The 15,574-nt window shown below is 36.0% G+C and overlaps 1 long non-coding RNA gene across 3 annotated transcripts in view; it reads left to right on the forward strand.

Moving 5' to 3' along the window:
• Positions 1 to 15,574, forward strand: part of LOC107985675 (uncharacterized) — a 528,885-nt gene that overhangs the window by 504,503 nt on the left and 8,808 nt on the right. For all 3 annotated transcript variants that reach the window (XR_001755783.2, XR_001755782.2, XR_001755784.2), the window contains one exon: positions 7,826 to 7,978. This is a non-coding gene — a long non-coding RNA (uncharacterized LOC107985675). The remainder of the gene's footprint in view (positions 1 to 7,825; positions 7,979 to 15,574) is intronic.

A 15,574-nucleotide genomic window follows, 5' to 3' on the forward strand; every position in this document is an offset into this window, starting at 1 on the left:
AGGAGAAGCTCAGTGCTTTATATAATGTTGGAATCCTGGTTGTAGGTAACAGAACTACAAGATAGGAAACACGTTCTTGTTTCCTGATATTTACCATAAACATGAGAAAAAGGTTCCTGAAGTTTACGCAGAGCACTTTTCATTGTGGGTTTACAGGAGATGAGCAGATGAAAGAATTCAGTGATCCTCTCTCATGGAGTCACATTGTTTAGGTCGGCATTTCTCCCAGAACATTAGATTTGTGAAAGGGGATGGTGTGCTCCAGGCAGCTTCTGGGGCCACTGGGTCTATGGGAACCCTTTCTCATGCAGCCCTTATAGCAAAGAAAAGCTGAGCTGGCAGACATATGTGAACTCTTGGCTACATCACCCTGATTCTCTGCCAGGACCAGGGACTAAATATGTTGAAAACTTCATTTAGTTGGTGTTGACACAGATTAAGGTCTAATTTTGCTTCATTTTACATTATCAAACCTCAAGCATTTAAACACAGTCCTCTTGTAACTCCACACAGGGGTGAGTTATAAGATAAAAATGTGTGGAAAGCCCTCCCAAAGACCTCCTACATGGATAATTACGTTAGTGGCAGAGTTTGGTGTAGGTCTCCTTAAATCACGCATCTGAACTGATTATGGGGGCTCACTCCTCCCTAATGAGGCTCCATATATAGCAGAGATTATTACTTCCAGGAGACTATGTTACCAAATGATTCCTGATGGGAAAAGGGCATTTAAGATCCTGACTGGACAATTTACAATTTGTGGTGAAATCGTCATTTCAAAACCAGCTGTTATATATTAGACATGTTCACACTGCAAAGAGCTCAGGAGTTACATGAAACTAAGAATTATGAGTGATGTTTTCTAGGAGAGGCAACATCATTGAGTTTATCATAAGAGTGCCTGGGAAGTGAGACAGCTTGGAGTAAAGAAAAATGCACTCAACTAGGATCCTAGAATCCGAAAAGCATCATTTCTAGAGGCTTGTAATTACCTGCTTGTAATATAATCTCTTGCAATTCACTTTACCTGCCCAAAGGACAAGGTGAATGACAAAATATCAAGCAGAGGAAATCTACTATTATCTATTTTATTTGAATTTATCTATTTTATTTGCATTTCAAGTTTAAAAAAAAACTCTATAATTTTAAAAAGTGTAAGAACAGCTTAGTCTATAGATTACCCAGTGCTAGGCATGATGCTGTTTCCACTGGAACAAGGATGAGAAATGTCTGTGTCCTACACTGAGAAGCTCACAGTCTATTTCAGGTGACACACTCACATCCTCATCATTTGTTGACTTCCATATTTGCAAGTTTGCTTACATACTAAAATTGATTTGTAATCTAGCACTTCCGTAGTCATCCAGAGACATGCACAGAGTGGTGACAATTTTCAATAACTGAGACCCACATTGCTCACATTTTTGTGCTTTTTGTTGGTGATGTCACTCTCAAATGGCACCCAAGCCTGGTGCTGAAGTGCTGTCTAATGTTGCTAAGCACAAAAAAGCTCTGATGTGTCCAACGGAGAAGATGGGTGTGTTCAATTAGCTTTTCTCAGGCATGAGTCATAGTGCTGTTGGCTGTGCATTCAGCATTAATGAATCAACTATGTATATTAAATACAGTGTCTTTAAACAGAGATACACAAACCAAGGTCATGTATTGACCAATTGATGAAAATGTTGTGACCAGAGACTTCATAGACTCCCTAAGCCTGTGTTTCTCCTAAGAGCAATGGTATTATGATAATTCAGCATTCACAGTGGCTTTATAGAGCATTACTATCATAAATAACAAGAACCAACTGTGTGTGTATGTATGTATATGTGTATATATATATATGGAGTGTGTGTATGTATATGTATGTACGTACATTATTGTGCTGCAGGAAGTATGCACAGGTGTCACAAGAGCCCATAAAACAGCCACACCTAGAAAAGCAAGAGCACTGTGAAAACCCCAATATAGTTCTACATAAACAATGAAAAAGAGGTTAAAGGGGTTCTCTTGGATACTCTGGTGCCAAAGATCTTAATGGACAGTTTTGTTTTGGCAAAAAGGCTGAAAATTCCAACTTTCAAAAGATTTTTAAAATGCCAAATCTGACAAAATTCAGAACAGTTTACTACTTTCTTGATCTGAAAGATGACATAAGACAAATACCATCTTCATGCTAAGCACTGAAGCAGTGAAAATCTTTTTAAGCACAATCAGAATAAATAAATATGTTCTGCTATCATAAAAATGATTAAATAATCTCATGAAGGGTTTTTTTTAAAAAAAACCTTATAGAAGAGTTTGAAAAGAATTTGACAAAACACATGAATTCAGAAGAATTCAGAAAGATACTTACATAAACAGGTTTCTACATCCAAATGACACTCAGAAAATATTATGTGAGAAAAATCACATTCTTAGTAGCAAACAAAATAATTACATTCTCGGGAGCCAATTTAGTAAGTAGCAGGAATGAAAAATGTGAAGAAAAGCATAAAGCTTAAGAAAAAGTGCTTCAGAAAATTGAAACATAAATTGTCAGTAAGTGAGATGACACATTGTAGAAATGTTGAAGCTGCCTAAATTAATTAATAAAAACTCAAAATGACTCCAAACAAACTCCTCTGTTGACTTTTAAAATTCACCTGTAGTGAAAAACATAGCCAGAAAAATAATGAAATGGGAAATCATGGGGGGAGGGGCACTGGAACATGTAGGGTTTTAAAAATTGTAACAAAAGGCAGAATACACAGAATTTGGAATAAACCGAGAACTCAAAAGTCAGGAAACTGTATCAGATAGATAGACTGCAGTAGCTCATAAAGCTAGTATGCTAAACCAGTTGTGAAAAGATGAATTATTCCAGTGAAAATCGGACTCCTACCTCACCCAGCACAGCAAACTATAATTTAGGTACACATAAGAAATTCATGTGTAGTAAACAAGACTATAACTGTACAAAAAAAGAGTGACTTTTTTGTAATATTCCGGTTCTGAAAGGCATTTTTAGGTATGATAATAATAAAACTGTGAAGAAAAATCCTGACCTGTCACTCATTTTCTATGGAAAATGCACTATATACAAGCCAAAATGACACTATTTTCTGGAAACAAATGGTCATACTATGTCCGTAAGCAAGAAGTTAACATCATCTGTTCCTTACCCTCAAAATAGCCTTTATGGTTAAAACAATAGTGGGTAAAGTTATAAACAGGCAATTTCCAGAAGAGAGAAAAATAGTTAGTAAACATAAAAATGTTTCAACCTCACTACTATCCCTTCCACACACATGCACAAAAAAGATCCAGGGAGGTTCTTGTTTTTTCCCTATGATTTTGGCATATATTTGACAAAGTGATAATTCATGTTTATTTAAAGGGGCTGAAATGGAAACCTATATATAATCTTAGTGGTGTTATAAATGTGTAAATTTATACAAATTTTCACAATATACTTATTCACTCTATAAATATAATTTTAAAGAGTATATATCTCTTGTCAATGTAATTTTCAAATAAACTAGTCTATGAAAAATGTTGGAGGTAATGTACAAAGATATGGCTATTTAGAAAATATGAATAGAGGCCAAGCAAGGTGGTTCAAGTCTGTAATCCCAGAACTTTGGGAGGCCGAGGCAGGTGGACCACTTGAGCACAAGAGTTCAAGACCAGCCTGGGAAACATGGCAAAATCCCATGGCAAAACATTGGCAAAATTACCAGAAAAATACAAAAATTAGCCAGTGTGGTGGTGCACACCTGTAGTCCCAGCTACTCGGGAGGCTGAGGTGGGAGGATCACCTGAGCCCAGGAGGTCTAGGCTACAGTGAGACATGATCATGCCACTGCACTCCAGCCTGGGTGACAAAGTGAGACCCTGTCTCAAAAAACAAACAAACAAACAAAAAAGAATGAGTAGATATAAACATATAGATACACAAATCCAAGTGTTCATTTTCATATAGTGTAAAATGAAAACATAATTGCTCATCGAATATAAAATGATTAAATAACTTAGCTTACATTATTTTACAAAAGAATAGCACTTTGAAGTATTGCTATAAAAATGAAAATGTTAGGAAAGAGGGTAATAATATATTGCTAGGCGATTGTATAATAAGATCCAGTGTTTCCAGATAGATATCTCCAACACGTCCTGTGGCTCAGTTATTATAAAGTGTGCAGTTAAACCAAAGCAACTTAATAACAAAAAAAATCATCTATTATAGAAGTATGGTTTTGGAGGTAGGATATATCTGAGCAAAATGGACAATTAATACTGAGACTAAGCATTTTGCGTTCAAATTTCAAGCATTTTACATGATCTCTCTAGGTCAAATGTGAGATGCCTCCTTCACAGAGGGAGAGTCAAGCTCAATGGCTTAGGTGCTTACAACTCCATCTCTCCAAATGTGTTAAGATGCCCATGCTTGTGCATCTGGAGAAAAGCTATCAGTACGACCCACTAGGCCACACCCTTTCCCCAATTCAAATCAAGAGAAGGGGTATTCACACCCATCAAGGCTTAATTAATTTCATTATGGGATAAGGAGTTGACATCTTTTTTCTGAATAAATGCTGTTTTATATTCATATTCTTGCCATAAAAACAATGGCATGTCTGGGGAATGTCTTTAAGAACTGTCATAATTTTTCGATGGTGTGAAACCAAGTCTCTAAGATCTCGCTTCTGACTTAAAAGTTGGCCCGTGGTATGGCTGAGTAACGTTTGCTTGAGGACATTGTGCTTGTAAATCAACTTTGTGAAAGCTGCCAATCTGGAAGAAATATCACCGATCTCAGAGTTGAGGTTTGAAAGATAACAGCAGATGAGTGACTACATATTTTATTATGTTAGCAGCGGCAAATCCATACAGGTCTGCAGCAACCTCAATTCTTGCTTCTTCGGAAGAAAGAATTCAACCGAGGGGGCATAAAGCACATGAGAGACTGAGGCAAGCTTGAAACCAGTAGTGAAAGTTTATTAAAAAGTTTTACAGCAGGAATGAAAAGAAGTAAATTACACTTGGAAGAGGGTCAAGCGGGCAACTTGAGAGATTCAAGTGTACAGTTGACCTTTGACTTGGGGTTTTACAATGGCATGGTTCAGGGGTCTTGCGTCTCTTCTCTGATTCTTCCCTTGGGGTGGGCTGTCTGCATGTGCAGTGGCATTGCTAGCACTTGGGAGGGGCTGCATGCGCAGTGTGTTTACTGAAGTTGTGCACATGCTCACTTGAGGTGCTTTTCCCCTTACCAGTCGAGCATTCCTAGAGGAAGGTCATAGACCAGTTAAACTCCACCATTTTGCCTTGCACTGCACATCCTTGAGCCCAATCACCCAACTCCTGAGATCTTATCAGGAAACTGCTAATCACCAGATTCTACCTATTAGGAGACTGACCTTTCCCTGGATTTGGCTGTGACCAATTACTATTTTAGAGAGACAGTTTAACAACCTCCTGAACATCACCTGATAGTCCTCTGACATTCCTTGGGAGGTGAGAGGGCCGTCTCCCATCCTGCTCATCTCTGCCCTACTATCTACTGTAACAGTTAGGTGCCTACATTTCCTAAGTACTGGTTACTCAGTTTCTCCCAGATTCCCATGAAATTGAGAGCTAGATTGATGTGGCTTCCATTCCTTGAAACCAAAAGAATTCTCACCATTCATTTTCACATGTCTACAGCAAGGCAGAAATATTCCATTCTAGGACAGATGGATAACAAATCTCAGTAAATGAGTCAGGCAAAAATCAAACCATTCACTTGGCTGTGGGTCAATTTTATTATGTACCAAATATATATTCTAGGCACGGTGGGAGCAAATAAAGCATTGCAAGCAACTTGTAATGCTACAGAAGGAAATGGTAGCTGCATGGCAGCTGAAGGATGTAGGTTCTATTGTTTGTGGCTAAATAACATTCAATCTGTTTTGTGATTTTTAACGGTTGAGAATATTTTTCAAAGAATGACTGATTCTACGCAAAAGTATTTATGCAGGGAAATTCAGAACAAGCCAGTGATTAAAAGTCCACCTCTATAACCCCAGCTTGATTTGTTTTATTATGTTATGCATGATGGGATATTGCAAAGCATGGATTACTACTATGCATTGAATCACCACTCTAAATGCGTTTGGAGTTTTCTGTTGTACAGTTACAGGAAACCGGAAAAATGGAAAACCTTTCTCATTTTTGTTTTGTTTTGTTTTTTTCCTCTTCAACTCAATTCAATGTGGATCAATCAGATCAAACCCCAAAACAATGTTGGGTGTTCTTGTAGGTTTCTCACTTTTGGGAATGGCTAGATGCCCCTACATTGTGTTCAAACAGATGTCTGGGAATATGGACCTGACATTATGCAAGGAATGTAACAGGCAGGGTTACAAGAAGTGACTTCTGTCACAGCAAAAATATATTCTTTTCTTGTTCCTTGAAAATGATACTTACAAGTTGCTTTCCAATGGTAGATAAACTAAGGGAGGGCCCACAGCAATGACAGATGACATAAAAACACTTCTTGACATAGAAAACATCTCCTCTTGCTAAATATAAGAGGATGACAGCAAGTCAGATTTCTTTAGATGTCAGGCAGAGGAAGTATTAAGGCATTCTGCAAAGTATGTTATGCTCAGGTTAGGTGTTACTAATGTCAGTATGCATATTGGAAGTATTAATTTCATTACCTACTGTATTCGTTTGTTTTCACACTGCTATAAAGAACTACGTGAGACTGGGTAATTTATGAAGAAAAGAGATTTAATTGACTCACAGTTCCACAAGCTTAACAAGAAGCTTGACTGGGAGGCCTCAGGAAATTTGCCATCATGGCAGAAAGCGAAGGGGAAGCAAGCACCTTCTTCATATGATGGCAGGAGAGACAGAGAGAGCGAGAGCAAGGGGGGAGGTGCCACACACTTTTAAACCATCAGATCTCATGAGAACTCACTCACTATCACGAGAACAGCAAGGGGGAAATCTGCCTCCATGATCCAATCACCTCCCACCTGGCCCCTCCTCCAATTGGACATAAGATTTGGGCAGAGACACAAATCCAAACTCTATCACCTATATATTGTTTGGTCAGTTTTATTTTTAAAAAATGTATCCTCAACTGCACCTACTTCTTATGATACCACCAGTGTTAGTTTAGAATGTGGGAAAAGGTAGGACAGTAGTTCTGTCTGCACTAAAAATAGCCTGTTTGTTTTCATTAGTTAAGAAATTTATATTTCATATGAGTTGACAGTTACCCATAGGTGAGACAGGACACTAGACAATGCTTATCCTCCGTTTACCTGCAGGTCTCCTATGTGAGATTTGAGAACCATATCTTAACTGGAGTCTCTGAAATTTTCTTTCATCATTCTATAAATTTGTTGTATTTCAGGTAAAAATACGTAAAAATTCAACACTTTTCTCCACTCCTAACAATGATGTGGACACAAGGGACAAGCAATGTAGATTATAAAATTAAATATAAAATTTATAATTATTCTTACTTATACAATTATGTAAAAACCTCATAGATCCATAGGAAAGCCACAAACCCAGCAGGAAAAAGGAATAAGGAATACAACAGACAATTCTGAGAATTATAAATTGCGTGTAGAATGCTTGTAGAAGAAATACTTAATATATAAAAAGATACCATTTGACTCTATCAGACTACAGATAAATTAGCAAAGGTAATATAAAATATCGGAAATAGTGTGAAGAAACTTGTATTTTTGTACAACCAGTAGTGAGAGTGCAAAGTACAATTTGAGAGAATATGAATTTAACATTTTCATAACTGGAACCAAAAAATTCCGTCATATTTTTTCAGAAATTGTATCACAATCCTACAAGATAAATGCACAAGATAATTCTTCAAATCATTGAGAGTGTAATCTATAATCTTCCTAAACAACGAACAGTATAGCACTGGTTAAGGAAATCATATATCAGCATAAAGAAATGTCAACAAGAACTAAGAAGGGTATGTATCTCCATTGTTTTATCGAGTTTTTTAATACATGTTTTTAAATGAAAAAAGTGAGTAGTACAGAAAATGTGTGTACTTAATGCAGTCATTTGTATTTTGACATATGTACCATGTGTATTTTGACATGTACCAAAAATAATATGTATGAGGCTGTACACATTGGTTACCATCAGGAGAGTAGAGGGATAGAAGGATAGGGTAGGAAGAGCTATTTTCCCTTTATTCTCTATTTCATATTCATTGAACTTGTGGATTAATAAAAATATGTTATTTTCAATATTTTATGAAGAACACAAAATTGTACAAACCTTTTATTTAACTCTTCAGCCCTCCTCTAACCTATGAAAATATGATAAATACAGTCCAAACTCAGTACATTATTGGGAAAAAAATTAGATAACATAATTGGGCAATGATTTTTTGATTTCTAAGATGCAATACAAATTTCACTCCATATGACTTTAGGTATTAATTCTTGTTACTATCTACTTATAATAATGCTAACAAGCTTCAAAAATAGCCTGTTACAGATGTCGTTGCTGCTCAAAATATTTTGAAGAAACATCTTAGGGACATGATTTTAAAGACTAGAACTAAAGTGCTCACAAAAATGCATATTTATTTTGGCGTAAGATTGTGCCTATTAGGTACGTGTCAATCAACAGTAACCTATCATCTTCCTATTTTTACTCCCCTTCCTTTGCCACAGGAGTCAATAGCATGTTTCCCTATTAGTGGTCTCATTATTTGGGCTTTAAGCAGTCTTCATCTGATATTACCCATGGGAACAGATTACAATTGGAGAGTCTCTTACTGGTGTGGTACTGCACAACCCAACAACCACAGTTCTATCACCAATACCAAAGGGAGTCATCCACAAATATTGCCTGGGTTCACTCCATCCCATGAACTAGACTCTTTTAAAAGTGTGTAGGATTGGTCAATCCATTGGGTGAATTGACCTAAGTCCACCTGGTTAACAGGTGATTTTAAAGTAATTTGCCAAAACTTTGTCCACTTACATTACTTTTGACTGCTTATTCTGGGTGACTTTTGTGTCCTCATGCTGGCTTCTTAAGGCGAATTCATATATCTCCTTTAAAAATGAACTGATAGAAACAAATTTAGTAAAGATCTAGGGTTTGGCTCAAAGCTAGTGTATACGTATGTTAGCTTGAACTGTGGATAGCATTAGTTTTGAGAGCAGATTTGAGAACAAGTTCTCAGCCATGCTAAAAACCTAAATGAATGTTGGAAAGACAAATATGGTTTTGTAATGCCTGTTTTTAAACAAAATGAATTTAATTTTATTATGTTATAAAATCAATACCTATTACTTATAAGCAATTTAAAAATAGATGTATAGTCCTCTAGCTATTGGCAATTATTATCTAGTGTATGGCCTTCCCGTAATTATCTTGTATGAGTCCATATTTACCAATGGTATTGCTTTCTATTTGTCCTGTATTTATTAAAATGTGTTAGCCCATTTTTCATTTTATGTTTTCATACCCATCTCAAACATTTTAACAATTGCATGCTATGCCATCTTATTTTTTACTTACACACTTTTCTGTCGCTGGTTTTGGCTATTTTGACTAAGATTTGACAAATATTGTTTCAATTTTGTTGACATTCGTTAATATTTGATTCTTTGATAGCTGCTTATGTTCAATATATTTAGGATAAATTTTCAGATATGAAATTGCCAAATAAAGAGTATACATATATTTTAGATATTTGATACATGTTGTCAAAAAGCTCACCAAATGACAATTTGCATCCACTGCACACACTCTCACAAACCATAGGCAATCTTCTCAAATGTTTTATGAATTTAACAAATTGAAAGCCTGGTAATATTTTTTACAAGGTGTGTTTCTTTTGATAGTGAGGTTGAATATTTTCCCATACATTTTTAACCACATCTACTTCTCACTTTCTGTGACAGATTTATTTGAACAAATAGAACCAGTTATTTTCTCCATAGTTGTCTGAAGACAAACAATGTATTTGCTACTCTCAGCTAGACATTTTGCCAAATATTGTTGCTTAAGAATATGGAAATATATGACAATCAAACATTACTACATTATTGTCCCCCAGTGTAATAAATGCTAAGCTAATAAGACATAAGGGTGCATTGTACATACAAGAAAATGCCAATTAATTGGATTGGAGCAGTGGATGGTAGAGTGTTTAGTTTAAGTTATGCAATTATTTCTGTGATACTTAGATGACCCACAATGTCTCTTGGGTCTTGTCTTAGAATTTTCATCGAAAATCAAGACACATTTATTACAATAAACATTTTATAAATAAACATTCTTATAAAGATGGGTTCAGAATCTGAAAACTGCCATAAGTTATCTGGAGACCATTCCAGTAGGGAAATATGGTGAGAATTATCACCCAGCAAATATAAGTTTTCAGTATCACAAAATAGGGGTTTTACATGTCATCAGGAGAAATCTTTGGTACACATTAACCATTGTATTACCTAGTTAGCAAAGCTAAACTCCCAGGATAATGTCTGAGTGTTAGGAGGCCACCTATAATTACAAAATTCTTGATAGTGAGAATTGAAAAGAACCATAGAAACAATCTATAGCTCTAGTTCCTCACTTTAGATGAAGGAACTGGAGTTCAAGGAGTGGAATGCATTTATTAGGTTGGTGCAAAAGTAATTGCGATTTTGCCATTGAAGTAAAAACCGCAATTACTTTTACACCAACCTAATACAAAGGCCCAAACTAAGTAAGTCATTGTTGTCAAGTGAAAGTAAAATCTGCAGTCTCTCAATTCAGTCTTTCATGGAAACGTGGAGGTTATTTCCATAGTAAAGAAATGGATATGCACAGTAATGAACTAAAATGAAATACCCTAACCATCAATCCTGAGGGATGTATAGTTTATATATCTTTGAGTTTCAAATGTCAGGCAAAGTACCCAACTCATGAAAAGTTCTCAAAACTGTAGTTAAAAAACTGCCTAACAATTTCATGAGTTGTTAATAAACTATCAGGATGAGTTGCCATAATCATTTTTCTTCTTCAAAAGTAGAAACTGAGGGAGGTGGGTACCAGCCATATTGGGCAGCGTGGGCTTAAATCTGCAAATACAGCTGGAGTATTTGAAATGTCAGGACTGATTTTACATCCCAACAAATTCTCGTATAGCAACATGAATTGTACTGAAAAAAACACTTCTATTCAACATTATATAACTTCCAATCAGGAAAATTACCTTTGATCAAATACAAGAAGAGAGAAATTTGGAGATTCATAGGCAGACCCAAAACATTTGGAATCCTTTTTGTACATGTCATGTAGATTAAGTGTAGGTCCCACTCAAAGTTGAACTTTTTTGTTCTCATAGAATTTCCTGGTCAAAAGCTCAGGTGTCCCTGAAGTATATGTCTAGGTAGTGCTGGTCCCAGTGGCAGTTTTGTGGCAATCAGCTGATTATTTTGTACATGTCTGATACATCCCAGATCTCCTCGAGGTTCCTGCATTGTTGACTTTCAGGAACTAGGGAGCTGAGCTTTCCATTCCTGGTGACAGCTTTCATGTGTTTTCAGTAAGAGAAACCAGATGCAGGTGCAGTTGTCTTTTGCAGCCCATAAATTTCATAAAGAATACATTCTATTTTTCTCTTCCCCAGAAAGCGCTGCCGAGGTTTGCCAGGCATCCAAGACCTTGCTGTTGAAGCATAACCTCTGACCCCTGTGCAACCCACAGCAAGACAACCGAAACCCACCCCCCAAACAGTGCACCTGTTTAAACCATCTGCAGAGCCCTGATTGAATAAATTTCCCTTGCACTTCATTTATACCAACAGAATTCTCATGGCTGAAGCTAAATTCTGCAATGAAGTCATCTATGGAAATATTGCTGGTTCCACCCCAACTTATCTAGGCAGGTAGTGCTAATGAACATCTATGCATTACGTGGAAATGCTTTAGAAATCTGTTGATTAGTTCACTTCAGAAATGAAGAAATCTAAGCATCTGATTGGATAAATGACCTGTCTCTTATAAGATCACTGAAATACTGGCAGGCACAACCAAAAAGAAGGTTTTCTTTCTTTCACTCCGAGGTCCCTTGTAAAGCTCATTCAGAACACTCAAGTTTGATTCCGTTCAATGCAGTTTTCACCTGTTATACATGTTCATTTGGATAAGGAATATTAGATATTGCTTGAGGAGATACACAGTTTGTTTTTAAGGATCTTTTTCGTGCAAAAAAAAAAAAAAAAAAAGGAACAGACCCGTGGTTGAAAACACTATGATGATGGTGTGCCGTTGTGTAACTGTTGTTAAAATATCAGCCAACTTTTCTAACCTTACATTTATAAAGTCAAGTCATATATTTGAGTTCTTTTTTGGACAAATGCATTCACTCATGCATTCATATATTCCTACTTATTGTGCTCTTTCCTATTTACAGATTTTCTGTCCACGGGCAACAAAAAATATGAGCTACAATTCAGGTTCTCACACAAGCAGCAGTCATATTCATCTTTCCAGCAAGGGATACTCCATCCCTTTATTCAGCTGCCTCCTTCCTTCTTGTGTTTGAGGCAATTTTACCAATTTAACTCTTGCAGAAAGCCATGTGTGCATCTTCAAGCTGTTTTTCCCCTCTTTGGAGGGGAAATAAGTACATGAATTTTAAAATATTAATAATCAGTGACTTTTTTTTTTTTTTACTGGATTTCACTTGTATAACCTCACTTTCTGTATGGGTTTTACAGGCTCTACATACCAAAAAACGTAAATTATGTTCCATCTTGCTTTATAAGTTGAAGCATTATACTGTTTAATGCCTGTATTAGTAATTCACTAATGTGTAGTTTAAAAATGAAAATGGATGTGCACCCATCAACATGAACACCTTTTCAAAAGAGTCATCCAGAAATAAATATTTAATATTTCTTCAAGGGACAGGTAATTTGATTTCATCTAATAACTGATCATATGCATTTTTCTTTTGTTTCTTTCTATTTTTAAAATTCTCTTGTGAAGTAGAAAAACATGGCCTGAAAGACAGCACTCCTGAAATTGAGATATTATTTAATATTTTATTGGGCTTCAGTAATGTAATTTGGCTTAGATGATGCAGGTGTACACTTTTCGTTTGACTCTGAACTCATTAATTTGACATTGATTTCTAAAGCACAGAAGTGTCTGTCACCTGCTGTAGTTTCGAAAATAATGATATCAGCACTCATGGCTTATTTATTGATAAGGCAGGCCTCTTTGGGGAATTTCTGACCCAGGTCATGCCAGCCCACTGAGGTTGATGGGGCAATAAGGTCAAGCCATGCTTTAATTAACCTGAAATCATTTGAGCATCACTTCTGATTTACAATAATGGCTGTCTCCCTAAATTGACTCATGGGCTCTACTGTTTCTCAAAGGCTTGATGTAACCATGTCATTGTTATTTCTCAACTATATTTCAAAATGCAAATTTTTCTATTTTAAAATTAAATGTCATTCTTTTCAGACCTGCAGGTTTGCATATGAGCACATACATGCACACACACAAATTAATTATTATTAATCTGGAGAGTGTAATGTGTCCTAGTTGATGAGAAATAAAGCCCTACAGCAGAACAACGTATGTTGTTGTCCATGATGGTTTAAAAAAGACCATTTAAGTGGAAATACCTGATAAACCCACAGAGTTCTGTAAGTGTGTGCTTAAAATGGAGCCTTGATTTTTGCAAGGGATATGTTTTTAAATCTTTGCAAATTTCAAAATTAATGGGATCCAGCAGAGTGCATACTCTAACCCATACAGATGGTGGAGATGGCTATCAGTATCTTTTGTCAGTATCTAGACAGCAAAGATAAAGTGAGGATGGAAAAACAGCCTTTGCCATGATGAGTAGAGAACAACAAAAAACCTATAGACTTCCAAACCACGGAAGTCCAGAGTTACTGCTCACATCACCATGAAGCTATGAAATGTGTTTCTGCAGAACATACTTGCCCAGAATTTGAATCAATGCCTTGGCAAAATTCATACTCATTCCTTGATGTGGAATTTGAAGGTCACTTGTGAATAGACCAAAAGGAGGACTCGAGTCCGGGAATGCCATGAGCCCACTGTGTTGTTTGTACAATCTAGAAGGGAGGTCAGCCTCCCAACACATAGCACAGGACCAACTACACACACCTTTCCTGAGTTCAATATAAGAACTGTAAATTAAAGAATTAATAAGGAGTGGAATTCATGGATACAGCAAGTCTCTAGGGAATCAAAATAGCATGTCTCCCTTGCTTGAATATGACTCTGTTTTGGGTTTCACAATATGGGAGAGAGAGTTTCTTCCATGTGAAAAATGTTAAGTATTTCACTATCAGTCGATATTCTTTTGATGTGGCAGAAAAATGATGCTATTAAAAAAATTCCAAGAACATGTCAAATACGGAAAGATCAATGGGTAGATGTCTACATATCCCTTTAGCTTTAAAATTATTTGATTTTGATATGGATGATGAAAACATTCAATCATTTGTCAAACAGATAAAAGGTTAGGGAGGTTAGGCATACTATTTTGAAACATGTAGTAACCACCATCATGCAAGCAAGCCCTCAATAAATGTGTTTGTCCACCTCAATTCTTTTTTTTTTTTATTTTTAGTTCTGGGGTACATGTGCAGGATGTGCAGGTATGTTACATAGGTAAATATGTGCCATGGTGGTTTACTTCACCTATCAACCTATCACCTAAGTATTAAGCTCAGCAATTATTTATTGGAAATACATGACACACATATCCTAAAGTGGGGGAAAATGTTTTCTGACCACTAAAGGAAACAAGCTACTCATTTCCTGATTTATTTTGACTATGTGTATTTTTCAAGTATTAGTTTCTACTCAATTTATATGTGGAACATTATTAGAAAGATCATTTGTCAGTGGTTTAGAGGGTTAGTAATGTACTTAAATTAATAAAATATGTAATATCCCCGAAAGGAATCCATTTCTGAAAATTCAGTACTTGGTTTTGATCCTTTAAGTTCCCTCAATATTTTTTGTGCATGCAAATTTTATTTACACAGTAAAATACTGCCCTCAGATACATATCGGGATATATATATATATATATATATATATAGAGAGAGAGAGAGAGAGAGAGAGAGAGAGAGAGAGACAGAGAGAGAGAGACAGAGAGAGAGAATTTTTGCTATCCAAATATTATGTCTTGGTTTTGTTGTCTTTATAATATTAAAATTTAACATTAGCATTTGAGTTACATGGAAATCAATTGTATTTTAATAGTCTAAGTTACCCCTTATTTCTACCTATTTGAAAGACTCAAATCTCTTTTTACTTTAAGATCTTCACCTTAAGGACTACAAAGATCATGATAAAATTAAGATTTTAAAAAATTAACTGAATATTTGTCTCAATTCTCCACTTTATCGTTTATAGATAGCCAAATGTGAGCAATGCACAGATTTCAACAACAGTTAAAATCGGAGCCTTCTGCTATAAGATGTCTCTTGTGATGGATGCGTTTAGACAAGGCATTCACACATGGGACATCACGTTGGCTCAGCTCAGAACTAAAAGAC

Source organism: Homo sapiens, chromosome X (assembly GCF_000001405.40).
Source record: "Homo sapiens chromosome X, GRCh38.p14 Primary Assembly".
NCBI classification, from domain to species: Eukaryota; Metazoa; Chordata; class Mammalia; order Primates; family Hominidae; genus Homo; species Homo sapiens.